Genomic DNA, 26,838 nt, shown 5'->3' on the forward strand with positions numbered 1-26,838 from the left:
AATCTCAAGAGAGGGGCATGGCTCCTGGCAGGGGGGTTGGGGAACAAAAGAAAATGTCGCCTCCCATCAACAATGGGTATGTGGCTCCTGAGAGGGCTGACTCCTGGCACACCCCACCCCAAGTCATGTAGGGTCACTTTGGGTGGGGCTTCTGGGTTCCTAGAGGTAGGAGGGATTTGAGCAAGACCCCAGGCAGAACTCAGGCTCTGCAGCTCTGACACCCTGGAGCTCAGTACAGTCACAAAGAAAAGTGGTGAAGAGTTCAAAGAACATGGGTCACTCCTAGCCTGAGAACAAGAGAATGGCAGGTGACCCTAGATGGCGTCCTCTATCCTCTTTTAAAATATGGCCGGGCGCAGTGGCTCACACCTGTAATCCCAGCACTTTGGGAGGCCGAGGTGGGAGGATCACCTGAGGTCAGGAGTTGAGGACCAGCCTGGCCAATATGGTGAAACCCCATCTCTACAAAAACACAAAAACGAGCCAGGCGTGGTGGTGGGCGCCTGTAATCCCAGCTACTCAGGAGGCTGAGGCGGTAGAATCACTTGAACCCGGGAGGCGGAGGTTGCAGTGAGCTGAGATCGCACCATTGCACTTCAGCCTGGGCGACTGAGCGAGACTCCGTTTCAAAAAAAAAAAAAAAAAAAGGACGGTCACCATCAAATTGTACTGGGCTTTCAAGGGAAAAAAACATGTGAGATGTGCTATCAAAACACTGAAAGAGTAGACTTTAAGTGATGAACGTTCTCAAAGGGAGAAGGAAATTCAGTGTGGAGCTCCGTGAACAGCGGACGTCTCTAATTTGAACCCAAGAAGGAATAAGCTTATTCCCCAGATTCTCCACAGAATCAAAATCCACATCGTAGGGAACTAACTAGCATTGGTGGATGGTAACATGTTAAAGAGCAGGTGTGGGGACAGGGTGTGTCTGGGGTCAAATGTTTGGAAAATGCTGAATTAAACAAAGGAAATGGGCAAGAATGCTCAATAATGTTCATTGTAAACATCCCAAAGAAGTTTATATCTTTTGACAGTTGCACCTGTTTTTAAGAAGCAATGGATGGGATTATAGTTCCATGGAACACATTTTGGGAAACACTGGCCAAGTATCTCAAGCCCCTGAGGGCTTGGCCATCCCTAGCACCTGTGTGCAATATGCTTGGCAAGAACACACATCTGTGAGCTTCTTTGCTCCCCAAACCCCCACCTAGCTAGGAAGTTCTGAAATATTTGCAGGATGGACTCCATCTTTTTGTCATGCACAAGTCATATAGTTTATGGTTTTTGCAAAAAGGTGTGTCTTTCATTAATTTTCTTAGACATGGGGAAGAGCCTTGGAAAATAGGACCTTAGCTGACTCGATTCTTCTAGTTCTTACTTTTTTTTTTTTTTTTTTTTTTTGAGATGCAGTCTCATTCTGTCGCCCAGGCTTGAGAGTGCAGTGGTGCAATCTCGGCTCCCTACAACCTCCACCTCCCAGGTTCAAGCTATTCTCCAGCCTGAGCCTCCTGTGTAGCTGGGATTACAGGTGCCCACTACCACTCCTGGCTAATTTTTTTTTTTTTTTAGTTTTCACCATGTTGACCAGGGTGGTCTTGAACTCCCTTTCTCAGGTGAGCTGCCTGCCTCAGTTTCCCAAAGTGCTGGGGTTACAGGCATGAGCCACCAAGCCTGGCCTGGCTCTTTCTTTCTTGATTCCGTGGGTCTCTCTTCAACCCCACACATCACCCTGAGAATCACCTGTTTTCATGCCCTTGTTCCAAGAGCTGTTTGTCAAGCCTTAAATGACTTATGTATTTATTCAGGGTCCCTTTACCTTTTTAAAAGGTGGAATGCCACAGGCCCACTTGCAACAGGGGCTTCTCATGCGATATTGGTGCCCTTGAGGGTGTGGAAATGCGCAGGTGACAAAAATCCACTCTGTAGTCCATTCACCAAGTCTTAGTTGATTAACGCTACTATGATACCTGAGACTGGGTGTCTCATAAATAACAGAAATTCATTCTCTGGACGTTCTGGAGGCTGGGAGGTTCTAGGAGCCTGCAGGTTCCGTTGTCTGGTGAGGGCTGGTCTCTGTGTTTAAGATGGCACCTTATTGTTGCATCCTCCGGGCAGGGTGGGGGGCAACGCTGTGTCCTCACATGGCAAAGGCGGAAGAGCAAGGGAGCTGAAGGCTGTGTGAAGCCTCTTTAGTAAGAGCCTTAATCCCATTCACAAGGGAGGACCCCTCATGGCCTAATCACCTCTTAAAGGCCCCATCTCTCTTAATTCTATCACACTAGCAACACCTGAATTTTGGAGCGGACACATTCGAACCACAGCACCAATTCCAACAACATGGTTTGGGGCTGCATCTACCTGGTTGGGGGGCGGGGGGGCGAGGAGCACCTTTTGCTCACTGGCACAAAGGTGCTGCTGAGTGGGCCAGTGGCAGCTCTGACTTCCTGTAAGGTTATAGGGTTTACAGATTTCACCAGATTAGCATAACCTGGGAGTAGCCTCGTGTCAATGATTTCTGAGTTAATTAATGGTGTCTTTGAACTCCAGAATTGAGCTGAGCGGTTTTAGACCCACACGAAGCCAGCAGCTCTGCACTGGCACCTCTGAGAAGGGAAGGGAAAAAGGACGTTTGACCAATTATATTAAAATTGCGGGCTGGGCATGGTGGCTCATGCCTGTAATCCCAGCACTTTGGGAGGCTGAAGTGGGAGGATTGCTTGCATCCAGGAGCTCAAGACGAGCCTGGGCAACATAGTGAGACCCTGTCTGTAAAAAAAAATTAAAAATTAGCCAGGTGTGGTGGTGTGCACCTGTAGTCCTAGCTACTTGGGAGCCTGAAGTGGGAGGACCACTTGAGTCCAGGAGGTTGAGGCTGCAGTGAGCTGTGATCACACCATTGCACTCAGCTTGGGCAACAAAGTGAGACCTTGTCTCAGGAGAAAAATAAAAAAAGAACTGCTGCTACTTCCTTCCTAAAAACAGGCCCCCTCTTCCTTCCACTGTGGAACTGAGCATTCAGCCTCAGCCACCAATTTTGTAAATACAAATTTCCCCTTCCCCTCGCACACTGACCCTCAAATCTCTAAGCAGCCTGAATAGCACACGAGGGTACTATAGGGCACATCAGCATGCCCTGAAGGCAACCTGGACGTTTAATTTTTTAAATTTTTTAAATTTTGTTTTTTGAGACAGAGTTTCCGTCTTGTTGCCCAGGCTGGAGTGCAGCTGTGTGGTCTCAGCTCACTGCAACCTCTGCCTTCCGAGTTCAAGCGATTCTCCTACCTCAACCTCCTGAGCAGCTGGGATTACAGGTGTGCACCACCACGCCTGGCTAATTTTCGTATTTTTAGTAGAGACAGGGTTTCACCATGTTGGCCAGGCTGGTCTCGAACTCCTGACCTCAGGTGATCCGCCTGCCTCAGCCTCCCAAAGTGCTGGGATTACAGGCATGAGCCACCATGCCCAGCCCAACCCGGCCTTTTAAATTTTTACCACTTCAGTGTTTTCTCACTCTGGGTGGGAGGGAATCTTCTGTATTATAGCATTTCAGAAACACTCTTGAAGACAGGATGGAGACATGTAATGAATCTTTTTGATTTCCAAGGTATGTCCTGTGTTTGTGAGTGAGATTGTTTGGGGGTATGAGTTCCCTGGCTCAGTGCTTCTCAAATTTGAATGTGTAAATGAATCACCTCAATACTTATTAAACATGCAAATCATGATTCAGCAGGTGTCTTTCTAACAAGCGGCCAAGTAATGTTGATGTGGCCAGTCCACCGGAGGTGCAAAGCATGGCGATGGTGCTGCCCGTGCTTTGGGATCAGAGACCCCCGTGTTACAATCCTGCTTCTGTCTTTTACTCACTGCTTGACCTTGAGTAAGTTATTGACCTTTACGGAGCCTTAGCTTTTTCCTCTGGAAGAGACAGAGAAATGGATATCCACTTCCAAACACTCTTGTTAGAATCACATGAGATCATCTACCTCTTAACATTCTTGTTAGAATTACGTAAGCAGCATGGCTTCTGGCATGTTGGAGGCTCTCATTCAATGGTGGGAATTCCATATTTTTTCCTCTGCCTTTTAAAAAACAAATATCAGAAAAAGAGAGAAAACTTCGTTAAACAAAACCTCAGTTGTAACGTTTACCTGGTCTTTGCCACCGAGTTTAGACCACAGGGGCTCCCAATGTTTTTGTCTCGTCCCAGTCCACCTGAGGGCCAGGACTGTGCCTGCACGTGGTTAACGCTCACTAACTGGTTGCTGAATGAATGACTAATGCACTTCCGCCAATAATAGTAGCTGTAGCTGGCAGTGGGGCCCACTTCTCCCTAAGGCAGCAAAATTAGAATGTGTGGGAGGTGGGGATAGAAAGTAGATGAGAAAAGCTCTCTCCAAGACTCTAATACTCCCCCAAGGGGGCATCCCTTCTTCCCATTTAGGAATCAATAGTCCAAAGGAACTTCCAGAAAACTTAATTTTACCTCTTCTAAAATCATACGTTGTTTGGTTCTCTTGTTTCCTGTGAGCCCCTACAGAGGAACAAAAAAACAAAACTGCAAGGGCGGCCAGGGAACCATTGTCAGCTGTGCTGGAGAGGAGGGTGGCTCTCTTCAGGTGCTCAGCCTTGGAGGCCCCGTGCTGCCTCGTCCCTTCCCTGGGGCTTAGCTTAGCTCTCTTTGTTGAGTTGGCAGGTCTTTGGCTAAGGATTTGCACATCGTCAGTGTTACAACCTGCTGCCACTGTTGTATCTCGTGGCCGCTCTGCCCTCTGTGCAGCCCAAGAAGTCTTGGCATCCCTCTGCCCAGGCATGAAGCTTCCAAGTCTTCGCCCCACTCTCCAAGCCAAATTGAGCTGTCTCTGCCTTGCCTTTCATTTTCTTTCTCTGTGGGTATAATTGTGTTGACAGCCACAAGAAACCAAATGTTTCCCTACATCATTTAGAGATGTGTGGCCTATGAAATTCCTTTCCATTTTGTTGTTTTCACCATGACTGCAATGAGCACAGTTGTCAGGAGAAAAACCTCAAAACATTTTGGGGAAATAGAGAAAACTTAGCATCCTAGCAATGTGTTGCCATTAGACTAATGAATCAATCAGGCAGCCAGATCACAGTGACTGCCTGAACAGAATGCACCTAGCTCCATGCAGATGTAACCTGTGATGTCACAGCCATGGCCTGTCCAGTGCATCCCAGGGCTGAGTGAAACACAGACCCAGTTGGGAGCTGAGAGGAAGGATGGGGTGAATAGCCAAGGGGGTGTCACAGGGCAGATGATGAGTAGGTAAATTACTGAAAGGTGCAGTTAAGATCTGAGACTAGGAGTTAGAAAGACAGCGAAGGTGGCAAGAGACACAAACATGGGATCTCCCTAAATCCATCACACGGATTTATTTTTTGTCTTAAAGGGATATTTTCCCCTGATTATAAGAGTTCTATTGACCTATTAAAGACAACGTAGAAAATATAAAAGTAGTTGGATGCAGTGCCTCATGCCCTTAATCCCAGCCCCTTGGGAGGCTGAGGTGGGTGGATAGGTTGAGCCCAGGAGTTGGAGACCAGCCTGGGCAACATGGCAAAAGCCCATCTCTACAAAAAAATTAAAAAATTAGTTGGGCATGGTGGTGCATGCCCGTAGTCCCAGCTCCTCAGGAGGCTAAGACAGGAGGATTACTTGAGCCCAGGAGACAAAGGTTGCAGTGAGCCAAAATCACACTACTGCACTCCAACCTGGCAACAGAGTGAGGCCCTGTCTCAAAAAAGGAAGAAAAGGAAAGAAAGAAGAAAGGAAGAAAGAAAGAAAGAAAGAAAGAAAGAAAGAAAGAAAGAAAGAAAGAAAGAAAGAAAGAAAGAAAGAAGGAAGGGAGGAAGGAAGGAAGGAGAGAGGAAGGAAAGAAGGAAGGAAGGAAGAAGGAAGGAAGAAGGAAGGAAGAAGGAAGGAAGGAGAGAGAAAGGAAGGAAGGAAGGAAGGCCAGATGGGCGCAGTGGCTCACGCCTGTAATCGAGCACTTTGGGAGGCTGAGGCAGGCAGATCATGAGGTCAGTAGTTCAAGACCAGCCTGCCCAACATGGTGAAACCCTGTCTCTACTAAAAATACAAAAATTACCTGGGCATGATGGTAGGTGCCTGTAATCCTAGCTAGTCAGGAGGCTGAGGCCAGAGAATCACTTGAACCTGGGAGGCGGAGGTTGCAGTGAGCCGAGATTGTGCCACTGCACTTCAGCCTGGGCAACACAGCAAGATGTTGTCTGGAAAAAAAAAAAAAAAAAAAAAAAAGGAAAGGAAAGAGAAATAGAGACAAAGAAGGAAAGAATAAAAAGAAAAGAAAAATAAAATATAGAAGCTCATGAAAAAGAAAATGAAGATTGCTTACAATTCCACTTTTGGTTAAGTATACTCTTTATATGTATTCTATTAATTTCTATTTACATCCACACCAGCCAGTCTATCTTGCATGGTTCAGAAGGGCCCTGGACAATTGTTAAATAAGTACATCCCTGCCGCTCTTTACCCAACGCAAGCTTCCTGAGGTTGCCCACGTGAGAAGCAGTCCAATTTCAGCCCAACATCTGCATTCTGAACATCACCCTCACGACCTTTAAGGCTGGAATCAAAATTTGCTCTTTGTTTTCTACATTGGCGGTGTCTTATCATGTGTGGCATGTCATCTAATCAGTCATCAAGTCCGGATTGTTCCACCATCCAAATGTATTTTGAGGCCAGGCGCGGTGGCTCACACTTGTAATCCTGGCACTTTGGGAGGCTGAGGTAGGTGGATCGCTTGAGCTCAGTAGTTCAAGACCAGCCTGAGCAACAAAGTGAGACCCCTCCCGCACCACCGTCTCTACCAAAACAAACAAGCAAACAAGATTAGCCGGGTGTGGTGTCGTGTACCTGTGGCCCATTCAACCTCTTTTTCTTTATAAATTACCCAGACTTGAGTATGTCGTTATTGGCAGCATAGAAACAAACGAATACAATCTTAAACCACAGACTTTCAGAATATGAAAATCATAAAATTTTCGAATCCAGATTTTACAGTCATTGGAGATTCCAGAAACCAGTCTAATAACTCCACCGTATAGATGGAGAAACTGGGCCCAGTGGGGCTCAATGACTTGTTCCAGGCCCAAGAGTTAAGGGCAGAGGTAAGATCTCCCCACATCAAGGCAGACCTATTCTTCCATAGCAGTAGTTTTCAAACGGACTTCTCCAAGGCACCAAGGTTCCTTAGAAGTATCATAAAGGTTCCGCCTGCAAGACATTGAATCCCACTAGGCCTAGTTTCTCCATCTATACAGTGGAGTTATTAGACTGGTTTCTGGAATCCTCCATGACTGTAAAATTTGGATTCCAAAATGTTATGATGAAGGGAGGGATGAGGAAGGGATGAGCAGAGAGTGGAGCCTCAAGCCTATAATTAAAACAGTTCTACTTTCACCTCATGTATCTTGAGACCTGAGTAGTTGTCTTTTTTAAAAAAGGGGTTTTCTTCCCCCCAAAAGTTTCAAAAACTCATGCACTGTATATTGTGTTTAATAAATAATCATGAGCAGCAAAAAAAAATTAAACCAAAACCAGAAAATGAAACCCCACACATGATCCCAATGGTAATACAAATGAAATCTTTAAAGATATTGGTTAGGAACACTCAGGTTGATACAAACATCCTAATTTTGTTTCCTGCAGGTAGTGGTTGGGGGTTAGAATGACAGCCGTCTATAACAGAATACAGCCTAGAAATCTGCATCTGAGTTCCTGTCTCAAATAGAGCTGGGCAATTTCAGATTCTGGGTACAGAGAGGAAGAGAAAAGACTGTCCCAAAATGTTCCTCTGGCATCACGTCAGGAACTGCATGTATTTACAAAGAGGCACTCACTCCTGAAAGACCGTGGTTGATAATGACATGCTTGGAGGATTGGATCCTAATTCTGATTAAGACTTTCAGCTACACAAATAAAATATTTTCATTGATCAAGGCTGAATCTTCCACTTTTACTCTCCAAAATGCATGTTTTCTATCCTGGGGAAGTAACGCCCCCAAACTTTAAACAAGGTAACCAGATCAGGATTCAGTCAGTAGCAATCAACAAGGACAAATGGATTAATGACTGGCGGTGGAAAGACATTTGTCCAGGTCTACAATTTAATTTTATGTATGTATATATATATTTAGAGACGGGGTCTCACTGTATTGTCCAGGTGAGTCTTGAACTCCTGGTCTCAAGTGACCCTCCAGCCTCGACCTCCCAAAGTGCTGGGATTACAGGTACGAGCCACTGCACCTGGCATACAATGTCAATTTTTAAAGTTTACAGCATCAGCCAGGTGCAGTGGCTCATGCCTATAATCCCAGCACTTTGGGAGACTGAAGCATGTGGATTACTTCAGGTCAGGAATTCGAGATCAGCCTGGCCAATGCAGTGAAACCCTATGTCTACTAAAAAATACAAAAATTAGCCAGGTGTGGTAGCATGCGCCTGTAATCCCAGTTACTCAGGAGGCTGAGGCAGGAGAATCGCTTGAACCTGGGAGGCGGAGGTTGCAGTGAGCCAAGATCCTGCCACTGTACTCCAGTCTGGGTGACAGAGTGAGACTCCATCTCAAAAAACAAAAAAACAAATAAACAAACAAAAACCTTACAGCATCTTCATAAATAAACTGCTTCCACTCTAGGACACTTTGAATGGAGGATAAAGGGTGCCAGGGAGCACACTCTTTTAGCCCCTAGCTTTATCTTTGTGTCCTTGTTCCTAGTGCAACACTCCGCAATAGGTTGATTAGAAAGACACTCATGTACTTTTTGTTTTGGTTTTGGTTTTGGTTATTTATTTATTAATTTATTTTGACGGAGTCTCACTCTGTCACCCAGGCTGGAGTGCAGTGGTGTAATCTCCACTCACTGCAACCTCCACCTCCTGGGTTCACGCGATTCTCCTGCCTCAGCCTCCTGAGTAGCTGGGACTACAGGTGCGTGCCATCATGCCCCGCTAATTTTTGTATTTTTTAGTAGAGATGGGGTTTCACTATGCTGGCCAGGCTGGTCTCAAACTTCTGACCTCGTGATCTGCCCGCCTTGGCCTCCCAATGTGCTGGGATTACAGGCATGAGCCACCGCGCCCAGCCACTCACTTATTATATAATGGAAACCTCACTTTCACTTTGCCGGGATCAAGGTTTAACTTCACTACAGTTCAGTATTTCCAGGACTGTTGAAAGATTACAGACAAAAGAAGTCTCCTATGAAAAGCTACCCAAAGCAGAAGGGACCTTCATGAGGGATAAGACCCTGCTCTCTTGCTTTCTAGCGGGTTTTAAGGCAACTCTTTTTTGTTTACTTTGTCTTTCTGTTTCTGCTTGTTTGTTTTTTACACACGTTCAACCCAAGGATCATAAAAAAGCTTGGCACTCAGGGCAGTGACAACACCCTTTTATTTCGGTGTGCTTTATTTTTTTCATAACTCAAGTAACGATGTAACTTATGATCCAAATGAGACTATGAGAGAAAAGGGGAATATTAAGAAATACTGTATGTGCATTTACTTTCCCGCATATATTCAGTTTCCATCACCCCAGCATCCGAGCTCCACGAGGGCCGACTTAACCCAGCCCGCCACAGTGCCCTCAGCACCATGGACAGCGCCCAGCAGAGCGCAGGCGGGTGGAGGAGGCTGGGCAGTGCGGTCAGCACCTGGGAAGCAGCTGATGAGGCAGGCCAGAATGTCTACTGTGAGACCTAAAGGATGAGTGCGGGTTTTCTAGATGAACATCGGGGAAGAGAATATGCCAGGCTTCTGTACAAACTCTGAAAAGGGAAAGACGAAGACTTGTCTGAAGAGCTGCCAAAATGCCACCATGGCTACAGTGGAAAATGGAAACGTGAAGAGGGGTGAGACAGACTAGGCAGGGACTCTGGAGGCCTGGACTTTATCCCAAGAGAGGTGGAAAGCCACTGAAGTATATAAAGAGGAATGATGACTCTTAGTTGCTTTTTTTTTTTTGAGACGGAGTCTCGCTCTGCCACCAGGCTGGAGTGCGGTGGCAGGACCTCGGCTCACTGCAACCTCTGCCTCCCGGGTTCCAGTCATTCTCCTGCCTCAGCCTCCTGAGCAGCTGGGACCACAGGCGCATGCCACCACGCCCAGCTAATTTTTTTATTTGTAGTAGAGACGGGGTTTCACCATGTTGGCCAGGATGGTCTAGATCTCTTGACCTCGTGATCCACCCACCTCGGCCTCCCAAGGTGCTGGGATTACAGGCGCGAGCCACCGCACTCGGCTTTTTAAGTTCATCCACATTTAATGATATCAATATACTGCAGGGTATTTTTCTTTTACTTTTTAATAGGTAATATTTTTACATGATTCAGAATTTGAAAGCATTCAGTGATAAGTCTATCTGTCCCCTCTATTTTTCCCTGGAGTCATCTGCAAATGTTATTAATTTCATATTTATGTGTCCAGGGATGTCTTGCAGCTATATAAGCAAATATTTTCAAAAATAATATGTCTTAATATATTTTTGTACCCCTTTTGCTAAAGGTAATGAATGCATGCTTTACACACTCTTCCGCACCTAGCTTTTTTCATCTAATGCAATATGCTGAGGGGATCTTCCACATCAGTTGTATATCTTAGTTTAGCATTTAAGGCATTTCATCTCCTCAAAATTGTTTCCTGCTGTTTCTCATCTTTTTCTGTGAGGCCAGTTCTTGCCTTTGGTCTCAATCTTTAGAGTATTATTTTCTAAACTGTGTTTTATATTCACAGACATTCCTCACCCTACCCCACTCCCAAATAAGTTTGGGAAGTGCCAGGTTAAACAAGGTTCAGCGTGTCTCCTTTCTGCAGAACTTCTCTGGACTGCAGTAGATTTAATGTCCTAGTCCTCACACTGGCTCTCACAGAAAGGACATGGTGTGCAACCTTTCCCATCTGCATTTGTTCCTGGAACCTTTTCCCTGAGCATCTCAGGGGAATGTTGTGCTGTAGAAGGGATGTAGGAAAATGCTGCTTCAGACAGCGTTTCTCTCCCTAGTCCAGTACTCAGTAAAGACTGACCAGTTCCTGCTGTCTATCTATCTTTTATGCTTGATGCTGACCAGTACTTTTCTGTTAATAATTCCTCTCCAGACAGGTTAGAGCAAAATCAATTAGGTTACCACTTTCTTAGTCAGTGACCAGATATACCCTGGTCACCTTGATTAGATTTGAGTGTTTCCCAAGTCAGCAAGGCATCCACAGGCTACTTCTCAGAGAGAGCAAATTTCTGTGTTTATGTGTCCTATGCTGATTCTGACTAGGTCTGCATTGTAAAAGGGACTTCTGCTCCAAAGTTGGAGTGCCTTACCCTAGCTCCCTAATGACCGACCATAGACCAGAGGACCCTGGGCTCCATCTCCAGGCGTCTGTCTCCTATCCCATGGCCTCCTCAGCCCCTGTTCCCATACTCAGTTGTATAGGATATTATATTGGGCACTGATCACTTTTCTCCAGCAGAATTGCAAATTTTTTCAAGTCAGAAACTTTGTTTTCTTCTTAGTGTGTTCCATATCAACCTCTCCACCCTCCCCCAGGGCCAGGCACACTAGAACTCATTATTTTTGAAATAACTTTATGGGAAAAATAGGTACCTGATATGGTTTGGCTGTGTCTCCACCCAAATCTCATTTTGAACTGTAGACCCCGTAATCCCCACGTGTCGTGGGAGGGACCCAGTGAGGGGTAATTGAATCATGGGGGTGGTTGCTCCCATGCTGTTCTCCTGATAGTGAGTGAGTTCTCATGGGGTCTAATGGTTTTATAAGGGACTTTCTCTCACTTCGCTCTACAGTTCCCCTTCCTGCTGCCATGTAAAGAAGGACGTGTTTGCTTCCACTTCCGCCATGATTGTAAGTTTCCTGAGACCTCTCTAGCCATGCTGAACTGTGGGTCAATTAAACCTCTTTCCTTTATAAATTACCCAGTCTTAGGTGTGTCTTTCTGAGCAGCATGAGAATGGACAAATACAGTACCTATAATCTCTCTCTTCACTTGTCAAGCAAAAAAATGTATTGCTCAATAGAGCTCTGCAAACCAGTGGACTTGTGGGTGGGGATGTGTTCTGTCTGCACCTGCCCTCCGTGTCCTCACCTGCCCCGGCTCACAGCCAACATTCAGTGAACACTGGGGGTGTGGGCCACAGTCCGCCCATTATTTGAATATTCACAGAACCAATGATGATAAAGGCTGGGGGTCCTTGGAGATCATGGAGTCTGACTCCCCTCATTTTGCTTATGAGGGGCTAAAGATGGCTCTGGCTTGCCCCAGGACACACAGAACTGGGACTCAAGCCCAGGTCTTCTGCCTTCCCTGGCTCTGCCACTGGCAATATTGTCTCCTTGGTAAAACGGGGTTAATGATATCCACCTTGCAGGACTACTGTGAGGCTCACTCTGCCGAGAGGGTGCATGTAGGGTTCTTGGCACAGTGTCTGGTGCTGTTACTGATCAATGTATAGTGGTTATTGTGGCTAAGCAAATATCCTTCCCCCCATGCCTTAAAAGCTCAAAAGAGTAAGGCTGATTTCTCTACATTTCTAATGTCTATCAGTGTCTTACGGTTAATAGAGCCCAGCAAGTATTTGATGATGGTAACCGGTTACCTGGTTGCTTATGTAACTTTTACCTTATAGCCCCAAGAGAAATTGGCCCTGTCCCCTTCTGAAGGATGATAGGTGTCCACTCTGGTAGAAAATTGAGTTCCTATGTGACTTTGGTTAGACAAGACTCTTCCCCTTGCCTCGATTTCCCCCATCAACTCACTAAGCTTGGCCTGAGGAAGAAGATGCAGTAAACCTTGATTTATGGATTCATTAGGGCTTGGAAAAGGTCCCTAGTCCTCAGAGCCAAGCACTGTTATTTAAAGAACACTGATGGAAGAGTGGAGTTAGGTACTCAAATCGCCCTCAGAGGACTGACAAGGCAGCCAGTCATTGTAGGGCATTTAGAGAGCTAATTCCTTGTTTCAGTATTTAAGGCCTTCGAAAAAGCTACATCCATCTTCCATGAAGAAAAAAAAATGTTCTTGCATCTTCCTGCTATCTAGAGATTATTTAGTACTCTGATATTGACACCACTTCTGTAGAAAGATTTAAAGATAAAAATGCAATGTATTCAAGTGCTGATCATTTTTCATCGTCACTTAGTGACAGTACAGCCTGGAGTCAATTGCAGCAGATTTATCTTTTGTGATATTGATTGCGTGCATGTGTGCTGAAGCTGTTTGCAAATACCTGGCTTCATCTATGAGGGGGCACTGCAAGCGCTGGGGGTGGGAGGCTTGGACAAAGAGACAGGGCTTGGTGAGGACCCTGCCTCTAGCTTTTTGCACTACAGGAGAGTCTGGATGGGCACTGCTGAGAAAGAACTGGACCAGGAGTCCCAGAAAAGGCTGATCATTAAATGTCTGGGGAGGAACCTACTGTTTAGTCATCATGCAAAGTCCCTGAGGTGTTAGGAGCGAAATGGTCGGGAGTCATTTGTGTCCTGAGGCTTATAATAAACATGCAGAGCTGGAGTTCCAGCCTTCTTTGAAATTTGTGTCTCCTCCCTAAAAGTGTATGGGTCAACAGCTCCCCAGTTGGGGAGATGTGATCCCAGTCAAGTCATTCAAACTCCCTGGTCCTCAGTCTCCCCATCTGTCAACAGCTCCCCAGTTTGGGAGACAACTAAGCCCTAGAATGACACCATCTTCCCTTCATAACAACAGGGCTACGATTTACACCCACTGCACTGGCCATTTTCCACACTACCTTATGAAGAGCAACCCTGGGAGCAGGGGAGGGAGGATGCTGAAGTCAGGGTGGGTGGTGGTGATCGGTATCCTTCATTTTAGAGGACACAGCTGAATTTTAAGGAGTCAAAGACCTTGCCCTTAAACCACCTGCCTTTCGTGCAGTCATTTCCTTCCATCTTATCCCCACTGGTGGCCACTTCCTGGATTATTTTCTTTCAAAGCCAGCTTCAAATCCTACACTGTCTGCCTATTAGGGAGTGGTTCTCACCAGATCTCAAGTCCCCATTTTAAAAAATGACAGTAGAGTATGGTTCAAGAAAAAAAAATAAAAAAGAAAAGCAATGGGTTGGAAAATAAAAAAGTAGAATTCTGGGCCTGACTCTGCCACTAGCTTATTTGGTGACCTTGCTACTTATCCTCCAGAGACCTCAGTTTCCTCACCTGTAAAATGGATTAAAATGAAAGCATATTGAGGTAAAGGCAACAAGAGCTATTCCTTAGTTCATGTAATAAATATTTGTTGAGACACGATTCAGGTTGGGGCACCTGCTTTGCTCTGTACAGTGTTGATATGTCTTCTAAGGCAGTGGAAAGTTCTTGGTTTCAGGGTCAGAGACCTGGGTTTGAATCCTGCTTCAGCCTCTTGCTCATTGTATGATTCCAGGCAAGTCATCCAAACTCCCTGGCCCTCGGTCTTCTCATCTGTAGCATTGAGATGGTGATATGGTTTGGCTCTGTGTCCCCACCCAAATCTCATGTTGAATTGTAATTCCAAATGTTGGAGGTGGGGCCTGGTTGGAGGTGATTGGATCACAGGGGTGTTTCTAATGGTTTGGCACCATCCCCCCAGTGCTGTCTTGTGATATAGTGCTCATGAAATCTGATTGTTTAAAAGTGTTTGCTTCTCGCTTTCAGTCTCTCTCTGTCCTGCGCCTGCTGGCCATGTGAAGATGTGCTGGCTTCCCCTTCACCTTTTGCCATGATTGTAACTTTCCTGAGGGCTCCCCAGAAGAAGAAGCCTGTGCAGCTTGCAGAACCACGAGCTGATTAAACCTGTTTTCTTTATAAATTACCCAGTATCAGGTATGTTTTTACAGCAGTGTGAGAATGGATGAATACAGACAGTCACTCCTGCCCCACAGGGCAATTATGGGGAGAGGAGAGCACTCATATGGCCCAGCAGGGTGTACATTAGAAGCACAGCTGATACCAGTTACTCAAATGACTTTCAGTGCATGTTTGAGGTCTCAACTCTCTTCTAACCCATGCCTACCACTTGCTGGTGGAAATGGGAGCTCCCAAGCACCCCTCCCCAAGCTCCCCACACTGAAAGCCATCATGGGCTTTAAACACCTTGGGTCCCATAGAAGCCCAAGCCCCAACCAGCAAAGGTCTATTTGAGCCCCACTTCAGGATGGCTGGTCATCCTGGTTGTAAATGCCAAGAATTTCCAAGAAGGCCAATCTCTCAGTGTCAGGGAGCTTTTCCTTGATATTTAGTCTACACTGACTATTCCTAAATTTCATCAATCATGCCTCCACAGACCCAGCTAAATCATTCCTCCCCTCCTCCCCATGACTCTACACTTTTTAATTCTGGTCTACGTTTTCCACCTGATACCTATTTTGATGCTTCAAAGACATCAAAATAGGGATAGAACCAGGAAACAAGGTTCCCGTTCCCTGCTCTGCCCCAGTCATGGACACCCAGACTTTTGGAGATGGGAAGGACCTTAGAGATTATTAAGAATTTACCCTCTTACTGTCCAGGTAGGAAAACTGAGGCCCAGAGAGGAAATAACCTTGACAAGGTCACAAGCCCATGCTTTCATCCTTGGATTTTATTGGATAAAAGAATGCATATTACTGTCACGGGCAAGGTCATTTGCCAAGAGCTATTAGCTTGGTCACAACTTAATACTGTTTACTGAGCACTTCTCTGCTGGTCAGGAAATGGGCTTCCCAAGGCAGGTGATTTATCTCATTCAGTCCTTGCAGCAGTCCTTGGAGGTGGGTACTATCACCCCCAGTTCCCAGCTGAGAACACTGAGGCTCAGAAAGGTTAAGTAACTTCTCCATGGGTCACACAGCAAGCTAGAGGCAGAGCTGAGTTTCAACTCCAGGCCTTCCCAACTCAACATCCATCACTTCTCTCTCAATAACACTTGAGATCAGAAGTCAAGAAAGTGGCAATAAAGCATCAAGAGGTTCAAATTCCACAGATAGGGAAAGAAAAGGGAAAGTGTTACCTCTAGGAACCAAGCCACTTGGCCTGGGACCTAAGGAAATAAAGGGCAGGACATTTTATTGAGTTGTTTCCTCTGCACTGGGAGCATCCAGTGCAGACAGGGGGCTTATTTATCTCTGTATCCACAGCACCTGGCACAGAGAAGGTGCTCAATAAGTGTTTGGTGAATAATAATGGAAGAGTGTGGAAAATGACCTTACCAAAGGGAAGGCCAGGAGGGAAAAAGTGCACACAGAAAGAATATTATTGTCTATGCCTCTCCAATATTACACACCTGGGAGAATAGGAGTGTTGACATCACCCCAGACAGGAAGTACTAACAACTAGCTAAGATTCTACCCCAAGATATTCAGAAAATTCCAGTTTGTTGCCAATTGTCTTGTGTATAGTAATAAGGTCAGAAGAGTTACCATTTACTAAATCCTTACCAAAGGTCAGACATAACACTAAACGCTTTAAATGCATCATTTCATTTAAGCCTCACACCAGCTCCCAAGAGGTAGGTGTTATTGGTGTTCCCATTTTGCGGAGGAGAAAACTGAGTCACAGAGAGGTTAAGTGACTTGCCCAAGGTCACACAGCTAGTGAATATTGAAGCTTGAACTCAAAGCTCAGTCTGCTAACACCAAAGGTCCACTAACTCAAAGTTAACCAGTTGACTTGAAGTCAATGGCTGGTTGTCCTTATCACTGAATCATGGACTTGAGACTCCAAACAGCCACCAGCCTGGAAGCCATCATTTAAAAATATTGTTCTAGCATCAGAGTATTAGAACATGCTGGTGATCCACACGTTACTTTCTTGTTCTTATTATTTATCTTCATCATTCTAGATCCTCTCCCAAGTTCTTTAATCATTGCCTGTCACCTGCTGACCTGTTTGTTTATTTTTTCTGTGTACAGTGTTTTGGATTTGTACAATCGTCTGGAGGATATCTTCCTAGAAAGGAATTTAATCATGTTCCCACCCTGCTTTCTGTTCCTGGAGAGGCAGGTGGCCACCAAGGCCCAGTATGGTTCCTAGCATGTACACTCCAAGAGGGCAGGCACCTGTCAGATTGGATGCCTGGCACTGTAGTGGGTGCTTACAAAACGTTTTTTTGAGCAAATGGATTTCATATCTCTGTTCAGCAGAAATGGTATTGGCATCTCCAAGCAAGGTAAGGTAATTTCTACCATGCAGAGCATCAAATCTCCCTCATCTCATAGGCCCTGGGAAATCTTTCCAGAAGCTGTTACTTCTCTTTCTCTGGTCCAGAAAACTGCAAAGCATCTGCTTATTGGGCCAGCCTGACTGGCCTGAGTCTAGTGGCCTTCCAGGGACCATCCTTTCCTGGCCCGCAGTACCCTCCCCAAGGATAAAGTTTCTGGGAATTGGACATCTAGCCTCCGAGGAGCCAGGATGACCTCACCAAGGAAATTCCCTTTAAGGACACTTTTCCAGGCAGAGGCTCTGGGCCCTAGTGACCTACGTGACCCAAGATGGAGCCTCTGGAGTTTTCGAGGTGGGTGAGGAGCCAGGGCAGGGATCCTAGCATTGGATCGTATATCTCCTTTTCAAATGTATTCCATAATCTTGGCCATTTTCACCACATCACACCTCCAGCTAAGATCGCTCTCTGCCTGAACCTCTTTCAGTATTATTTTTGCATTGTTCTTCTCTCCAGGGAATATCCTGGTTTAGACTTTCCTCCCAATTGAATTTGCCTTTCTCCCCTCTGAGCCAAATCCTATTTTGTTATTTTCCATTGGTATCTTTAACCCTCTTTGAGACATCTGCATTACCTCTCTGCCCTTCTTGGTGATAGCAACACCTCCCAATTAAGGATCTTATGCAAATTTCATTAGCGTGCTGTTGACTCATCTTCCAGATCATTATTAAGGATGTTAAATAAGAGCAGAACAAACACCGGTTTCCACACACCTTCAGGGAGGCCGTGCTGTGTCATTTTTCTTGGGTTTGGGTGTGTGCACCATTTCATCTGCAAAGTAAGTTCTTTTCCATTCCAGTTTGAATTTATTTCATGAGGAAAGTTTCATAATATATTATAACCAATGTTTTAATAAAAATCTTATAGCTATCCATGGTACCCCTGCATGTGTAGTCCCAGCAGATGAATGAATGAGCTTAGGTGACCTGCTTGCTTTCAGTAGAAACTTACATTGCTGGAGAGCCCGCAGTCTTCAGGGTGCCCTCTGAGTTTCCTTGAATATCTCTGCATTCCTTGCTGGCCTGGCCAAGAACATGTACTAAATACCTACTAGATTCAGGCTTCCACCTGTGCTGGAAGAGATGCCAAAATGGAAAAAGGGGCCCTTGTCCTCAAGAATCTTATGTCTGACTGAGTAGAAAGAACATTCCCACACACAGACCCTCCACACACAAGGAAGTGAGCAAAGCAAGATTCTGAGGAAAGCAACATTTAATCAGGTACAGGCTACAGTTTAAAATGTTTAAGCATGGCATGCATTTTAAAACTTTAACTTTTTATTATGGAACGTTTCAAACATACACGAAATGGAATGAGTCCCTGTGCACCCATTATCCAGTTCGAACAGTTGCAACACTTTGCCATTTTTATTTCATCTCCCCACCCCCCTTTCTCTCTCTCTCTCTTTTTTTCTTGGAACACTTTAAAGAAAATCCCAGGCATCATATCACTGCACCAGTAATACTTCAGAAAGCAACTCTAACAGATAGGCTTTTTTTTCTAACATAACCACAATGCAACTAATACATCTAACATTATTAAGGATAACTCCTTATGACATACAATCTATTAACTGGTTCTTGTTCAACTTTTCCCCTGATTGTCTGAAAAATGTCTTTTTACAGTTGGTTCATTTGAATCAGGACCCAAATGAGGACCACACATTCTAGTCCTTATTTGAGGCATCTGGTGGACCTGCCTGTTAAGTCTCTTAACTTGTAAAATATCCTTTCTAAAATGCCATTTATTTATTGAAGACACTAAGTCATTTGTCCTGTAGAATTCTAAGTGTAGTTCATTTTAAAGGACACTTGTTATATGAAATATAAACATAGAAAGATAAACCAGGAGATAAAGTAATATAAACTATGCGTGCCAAAACATTTGAAACATGGACCCTTCTAGTTGGAAGGAAGCCTAGAATTTCTTCACACAAACCCAGCCTCCACCCCTTTCCCTATCTTTGCCCCAGACACAAAATCCTCCTCAGCAATAACGTGATAGATGTACATTCTCTTCACTTTGTAGAAGAACCCACTTTGGGATTCTTTTCTATACCAAATCCTTCCCATGCAGATTAAAAAAAAAGTTATTCAACTTAGCAACAATTAAAAAATCTATTCATACAAATCTATAGCAAAACTCTATTGCCCAAAATGTGCTACACCTGGGAAGAGCCCTGAAATTAGAAAGAGAGAAAAAGGGAAGGAAAGGAAGAGAAAGGAAAGAAAAGGAAAGAAAAAAAGAAAGAATGGCTGGGCACAGTGGCTCAAGCCTGTAATCCCAGCACTTTGGGAGGCTGAGGTGAAAGGATTGCTTGAGCCCAGGAGGTCAAAACTGAAGTAAGCTATGATTGCGCCACTGCACTCCAGCCTGGGTAACAGAGTGAGATCCTGTCTGGAAGGAAGGAAGGAAGAAAGGAAGGAAGGAAGGAAGGTAGGAAGGAAGGAAGGGCAAAAACAAAACGAAACAAAATAAAGGGCCATAGACACAAGAAATTCCAGCTAGAGTTAGAGATGTTTAGGAGGCTAAAGGTAGATGATGGTTAAGAGCAAAAGATGGCTAGGCACATGGGTGTAATCCCATGTGGCCCATGCCTGTAATCCCAGCACATGGGAGGCCAAGGTGGACTGATCACTTGAGCCCTGGAGATTGAGACCAGCCTGGCTAACATGGCGAAACTCCATCTCTACAAAAATTAACCAGTCGTGGTGGTGTGCACCTGTGGTTCCAGCTACTTGGGAGGCTGAAGTGGGAGGATCGATTGAGCCTGGGAGGACAAGGCTGCTGTGAGCCATGATCACACACCACTGTACACCCTCCTGGACAACAGGGTGAGACACTATCTCAAAGATAACGAGCAAAAGATGATGGAAGTTTGTTGGACTAGAACATGACCCTACCCCCTTCTACTCTTTTGTCTAAGACTTGATGGCTCACTGAGGTGGAGAGGGAGGCAAAGCCAAGTTCTGGATGGGAATGTTGTCTCTGTTTTGAGCAATGGTTTTAACTTTCTGAGCCCGAGTCCCCGTCTCAGTGACCTGGGATGATAATTCTTACCTCCAGGTTGTGTGCACGAAGCCAATAATGTGGGAACGGGGCAGGCCACCCAGTGTCTGGCACGTGGCTGGAGCTCAATGGGGGAGGGTTTCTGTTGTGTGCATGGTGGGGCTAAGCTCCACCTGTAACACTCCAGACAGACAGCCTGTTCATTCTGCCTGATGGCAGGTCATTGCACTGGGGAAATCTATCACATTGATTGGCTCTCCTAACAGGCTGATTGGGGGAAAATAAAACATTCGACATAAGTGAAAAAACGGGAGTAGGTGAATCCGTGAGCCCTGTAGGGAGGTGGCCCCATGGTGAGCATTCCAAGTGCAGGTGAGTGAATTTGAGAACAGCTCTTCTGTTTTTTTCTGAAGTATTTGTACCACATTCAGATCATTTTGCATTTCCGGTCTCAGCTTTATCCTTTATAATTTTCCCCAAATACTAAGTAGGTTATACAATTCCTCCAGGGCTGTCGGATGCTCACTGCCCTGATGTGCTGATGGTGCATTTGTTTACCAGAAGGGATCCAGGTGAGGGGAGGGCCTCAGCCCCTCTCAGCCCGCCTCCTGCCTCCCCGCACCTCCTGGAAAACCTGAACCGCTTGCATTCATAGTCAGCAGGTGCTCCCTTTGTCATGCGACAGGAGAAGGACCTCAGCCTGCACCTTCAGGCCCCTCCAGCCCCTCCACAAGGGATTTCCACCAGAAAGTTTAAAGCTCACATAAGGATCTGAGCCTCTCCCAAGAGAATGGCGAAATAAACACAAGCTGTTATTGGCGTCATCTCAGTATTGATCAGGGCTCATAACTGCTTAATTCTTCATTTTTATCAAGTCTTCCCAAACTCCCAACCATCTTCAGTGCTTGGGCATTTCGGCTTCGTGTTGAAACGAGGTTGGTGCAGCAGCTGTTTCTGCATCAGGGGCTGCATCTCCCACCTCCCTTGGTTATGAGCAGACTCTCAGCCCCTCCTGTGTTCTCTTCTCCATGGCTAATCTGCAGCTGATGGTTTGGTTTCCAGAGATACAACAGAGCTTTCCTGAGTCCATTAGAAACCCATTATTTAGGGCGGTCACCCCTACTTCCTTCCAGAACCCTCACCCCGCTGACCACAAAGATCCCTTATCAGGAAAGTTGGTGTTTGGTTTCCTGAGGGGGAAAAAGCCCATCTACATCCAGAAATGACTCCATGTGCCACCCTCGGAAGGAAGGCCTTCCTGTTTGGATGCAGGAGGGCAACGTCACTGCTTGCACAAGGCCCTGTCTCAACTCCAAACTCACCTGTCAGCCAACAGAGCTCTCCAAGTCCTGGCAGGGAAAGCAAGAGGGAAAGAAAACAATCTCTGAGTCCTTCAAAGACAGAGCTCTCTTTACGACTACGATTTCCAGCAATCGATCACTTATTTTCAATAAGCAAGCCTCTTATTCCACCCTTCTATGCACGAACCCCCAAAATAAACTGCGCTAGTCATTAACGCCCCCTCCCCCGTTCTTGTTCTCATCTTTTCCAGTGCTGACTTGAGTTTCTTTTTTAACGTGGGGATTTCCTCCACCCCCTGCCTGTGACCCCCTCTTAGGAAATGTAAAATCGAAAGCAGCAATAGAGCTGCGGTCTTCACGAAGAATAAAATCAGTGACTGCCAACCTGGCCCACGGCCTCCCGAAGCAAGCTCACCGAGGACTCATTCTAGCTGCGCCAATCACATCGTGATTTTAATAATTTAGCCCCAGGTGGGGTTGTCTCTGCTGGTGAGTGGCTTCGGGACCTCAAGTTATCAAAATATTAATGCTACTGATTTGTCAGCCCTCACTGATGGAGCGTCAGAAGCTTCTGGTAGTTGCAGGGGAGGCAGATTTGTAATAATAGAGACAACGCTGGCCAAATGGGAATCTCTGAGTGAGGAAACACAGGCGGGCGTGTCCTCTGCCCCTGGCTGTCCTGGGACCCCGAGGGGAAGACTGTGGCTCAGACCTTGCAGTCAGTTAGACCCTCCAGGGATCAAGGGCGAAAGGGGGATGGATAGTGTCGCAAACCTGGTGATTCAGATTTTTGAAATCTGGCATAGGGACTCCCAGTGGAGTGTCCTTATGGATTATTTTGCTGTCTGCCAACACGTGGGTCGCATGGCCCTGGTGGTTAGTGGAAGGGCTTTACTGGAATCAGGCATGGTGTTGAATAACATTAAATCACCTCATGAGAATGACTCCCTTTTCCAATTCTCTTTCAATTTTCACATTGCTTAAAGGGAAATTTCAGGTGCTCCGGGTCTCTAACGCCTCCCTAGTACTTACGAATCTTCTTCCTTAACAAGGAGAGCTGTCCTCAGGCTCCCAGCCTCTAGTGGGAACACAGCTCTAGAAATTGACAGCATTATTTGGTTTTCATTATATTTATTTTTATAGTTACCTTATGTTTGTAGCAAGTTGTACTGATTTTCCATTTAACGAGGTGATATAAAGTTTCCTTTTAAAACACATGTTTAAGTTAATGTTTAAGTTAAACATTAGATAATTCCAAATAAAACTATTAAGAAATAAGAGTTAGGGTGGGTGCGGTCGCTCACACCTACAATCCCAGCACTTTGGGAGGCCAAGGCGGGTGGATCACCAGAGATCAGGAGTTCGAGACCAGCCTGGCCAACGTGGTGAAACCCCGTCTCTACTAAAAATACAAAAAGTGTTAGCCAGGCATGGTGGTGCATGCCTGTAAGCCCAGCTACTCGGGAGGCTGAGATGGGAGAATCGCTTGAACCCAGGAGGTAGAGGTTGCAGTGAGCCAAGATCCTGCCACAGCACTCCAGCCTGGGTGACAGAGCAAGACTCCAACTCAAAAAAGAAAAAAGAAATGAGTCTGGGTGGTATGTGGATAGAGCAGTACATCTGAAAGTGAGTTTGGGGTGAAGGGTCTACGGTCAGCGGGGAGAGCAGCTCTCCACAAGCAGGGAGCACTTTTCATTCGAGTTCCCATGGTGCTCATCTCATGCTAGCCCCCAGGAGACACTCACTGCCCACGCATCTCTCGGGGGCTGATGTGAGCCGAGGCCGGGTGGGGCGGGGGAAGCCGAGGCTGGAGAGCCAGAGGGAAGCACAGTTTCCCTCTCGGGGCCTCTGCTTGCACATGGGGATATTTAGGTTACTTCAAAAACAAATGAGAAAAGTCTGGGGAGAGTTCTGGTAAATGGGGAAAGTACTACTAAACGTACGTAACGGACACGTTTAACAATGTCACATACTGGATCTCTGACTGCCAACTGGCCTCGAGTCCCCCAGACCCAGCTCCCTCCCAAATAGAGCAAAAGCTTCAGGCTCAGAAGGCAGAGTGGGTTCCCATTTGTGCCACTGTGGGAAACGTCCTTAGACACTCACTCACCTTCCAGCAACCCCAAAGGGGGTGGGGTCTGCCTCAGCCTCAGAAGGAGTGGAGGCCTAGCAAGGGGAGGTCCCTCCACCAGAGATCATGGCCACCATGTCACTCAGCCCAGGAGTCTGACACCAAAACCCGCCCTCCTCCCTTCTCTGCCCTCCTGCCTGATCTTTTAACAGCAGTAATTACATGGTTCAGAAATCAGACTAGATAGGAAGGTGTTCACTGCAAAGGCCGGCTTCCACCCTCCATCCTCCACTACCGGGAAGCATGCTATTACCTTCTGATTTAGCCTTCCAGGTTCCATACACAAATAAACACAAACAAACGGGGTGCATGTGGCATTTTCTGTATGTATAACCTTATTCCACCCTTCTTTTTAACTCTTTTTTACTGTGATAAAATCACATATATATATATATTTTCCATTTTAAGTGTACAGTTAAGTGATATTAAATATATTGTAATGTTGAGTTACATCTCCAGAACTCTTTTTTTTTTTTTTTTTTTTGAGACAGCATCTCACTCTGTCACCCAGGCTGGAGTGCAGTGGCGCGATCTTGGCTCACCACGACCTCCACCTCCTGGGTTCAAGTGATTCTTGTGCCTCAGCCTCACGAATATCTGGGATTACAGGCAACCGCCACCATGTCCAGCTAATTTTTGTATTTGTGGTAGAGACCGGGTTTCACCACGTTGGCCAGGCTGGTCTCGAACTCCTGACTTCAGGTGATGCACCTGCCTCGGCCTCCCAAAGTGCTGGGATTACAGGCGTGAGCCACTGTGCCCGGCCTCCAGAACTCTTTTCATCTTGTAAAACCGGAACTCAGTACCCATGAAACAATAACTCCACATTCCCCTCTCCCTCCAGCCCCTGACAACCACTGTTCTACTTTTTGTTTCTATGAATTTGACTATTCTAGGTACTGCATATATGTGGAGTCATACGGTCTTTGTCCTTTTGTGACTGGCTTACTTCACTTAGCATAATGTCCTTCGGGTTCATTTACGTTGTAGCCTGTCACAACGTCCTTCCTTTTTAAAGCTGCAAAACATCAGTATCCAACGTGTGATGCAGTGGTGCTAATTAGAGCATGGCTTACTCTGCCTGCGACCTCAGTGTGACTTAGCTGTGGTCGACCCTTTTCTGGGAAGTCACAGAGTCCACTGCTGTGGCTAGAGCTGGAGGGAGGTCAGAGAGGTGGGTGGGAAGGAAGGCGGGTGGGCTGCAGGCTCACTGAAGGTGTCTGCTGTAGTGCTCCTGGTAGACCAGGTGTCTAGGCACACTTCACAGGCTGGAGGCGGGTCCTCAAAGGGCCTCAACCAGAAAAAAGTGAGTGTGCCGCCTGGTGCCTGCATGACAGGCACCGTGACAGTGCAAAATGCAGTTCCCGCCTGGAGATCTCACACTAGGTAAAGTGGATGTCAGGACGTGACTGCGTATCTGTTCAAACACGCTCAGCATCCTGCTGGGGACCATCACGTGGGGGAGACGGGCATGAGGACAGGGGCCTTTGACTCGGCGTGGCGTGAACAGGGTGTACCTGCAAGCACTGGTCACTTCCAAGAAGCCTGACACAGCCTGCCCAGGGGGACAGCCCTGTCCTGCACCTGGGCAAGGACACTCCCCTTCTGCAGCCACCCCTACCTCGGGGCCTCAGAGCCTGCTAGTGATGTCAAAGAGCAGAAGGAGTCCCTTGGTCCTGATAGGGGCTGAAATCATCTGTTGGAGTCCTAGGTCTCAGTACTCAAAATATGACTATGTCTGGGGAGAGGGACGTTAAAAGGGGAATTAAGTTAAAATGAGGTCATTAGGGTGGGCCCTAATCCGATATAACTGGTGTCCTTAAAAGTAGAGGAGAGTGGGGCCGGGCACAGTGGCTCACGCCTGTAATCCCAGCACTTTGGGAGGCCCGGGTGGGTGGATCACCTGAGGTCAGTAGTTCGAGACCAGCCTGACCACCATGGTGATACCCTGTCTCTACTACAAATACAAACATTAGCCAGGCGTGGTGCCTTGTGCCTGTAATCCCAGCTACTCAGGAGGCTGAGGCGGGAAAATCACTTGAACCTGGGAGGCAGAGGTTGTAGTGAGCTGAGATCACACCACTGCACTCCAGCCTGGGTGACGAGTGAGACTCCATTAAAAAAAAAAGTAGAAGAGAGTGGGACACACAGATCCTGTGACGACGCAGGGAGAAGATACCGTCTATCAGCCAAGGAGAGAGGCCTCAGGAGAAACCAGCCCTGCCCACACCTTCATCTCTGGCTTCCATCTTCCAGAACCATGAGGCAATACATCTCTGTTGTTTAAGCCACCCAGTCCCTGGTCCTTTCTTGCAGCAGAATAATACTGATCTGGCCTGCTGTGCGATACCGTGAGCTGCGGGAAAGAAGCCTTGCTCCCTGCTCTGCCACCCTCTCTGTGCCTCACCCCGCCCTCTTCCCAGAGGGTACCTGGGAAGTCCCAGCCCCATCCTTCCCCTGCTCTGAGTATTTTCAATCTGCCTTTGGACATCAAGGTGCACATTTCTGGCACCCATGGCCTCAGCTGTAGAGTGAGGCCAGCCCCACCTCACTGGAGAGTGCAATTGCTCAGGCCTGGATTTTAATCCTGCCAGAAGGATTAAATCCTCCACAGCTGGTGGCCGCAGATGAGCTTCTTCACCTCTCTGAGTCTCCATTTCCTCGTCTGGAAAGTGGGGGATATGTGGGCTTACTGTGGGGATCACGCAAAAGGTGAATGAGATGCAGTGCAGTGTCCAGCACATGCTTCAATAAATGGCCGTTCACCCTTCTCTCTCTTTCATCTGCCAATATTTACTGAGCTCTTACGATGTGCACAGTCCCAGGCACTGGGACACAGCCGGCAAGAACACAGACAAAAACCCCTCAGGAACATCCTAACTGAGGGAGACAGAAAACAAATGCAATAAGTGAGATGTAAGGTCCGTTAGACGTTCAGCACAGTGGAAGGAAAGTTCAGCAGGAGAAGGGATGGGGAGCAGGGTAGGGGGTGGGTTTGGGTTGCTCCACTCCCTGACCCGCAGAGCCATTTGGGGTTACGGCCCAGGATCGAGGGGTGCTTCCCTGCTTCCCTGAGCTGCTGAAACAGCCGATTCGAACAGGGATAAAGGCAGGACAAGACGAGCTGACCGTCTCATGGTGGGCAGTGGTGGGGAGCATTGGT

At 46.6% G+C, this 26,838-nt stretch overlaps 2 annotated features.

The window, feature by feature from the left end:
• Nucleotides 24,597–25,097: an enhancer, noted in NCBI's record as "H3K4me1 hESC enhancer chr9:135004636-135005136 (GRCh37/hg19 assembly coordinates)". NCBI's record gives its function as "activates a minimal SCP1, AML or CMV promoter by ChIP-STARR-seq in naive H9 embryonic stem cells {active_cell/tissue: H9 hESC(naive)}" and the evidence as "EXISTENCE:reporter gene assay evidence [ECO:0000049][PMID:30033119]".
• Nucleotides 25,098–25,598: an enhancer, noted in NCBI's record as "H3K4me1 hESC enhancer chr9:135005137-135005637 (GRCh37/hg19 assembly coordinates)". NCBI's record gives its function as "activates a minimal SCP1, AML or CMV promoter by ChIP-STARR-seq in naive H9 embryonic stem cells {active_cell/tissue: H9 hESC(naive)}" and the evidence as "EXISTENCE:reporter gene assay evidence [ECO:0000049][PMID:30033119]".

This window comes from Homo sapiens, chromosome 9, assembly GCF_000001405.40.
Source record: "Homo sapiens chromosome 9, GRCh38.p14 Primary Assembly".
Classification (NCBI taxonomy): domain Eukaryota; kingdom Metazoa; phylum Chordata; class Mammalia; order Primates; family Hominidae; genus Homo; species Homo sapiens.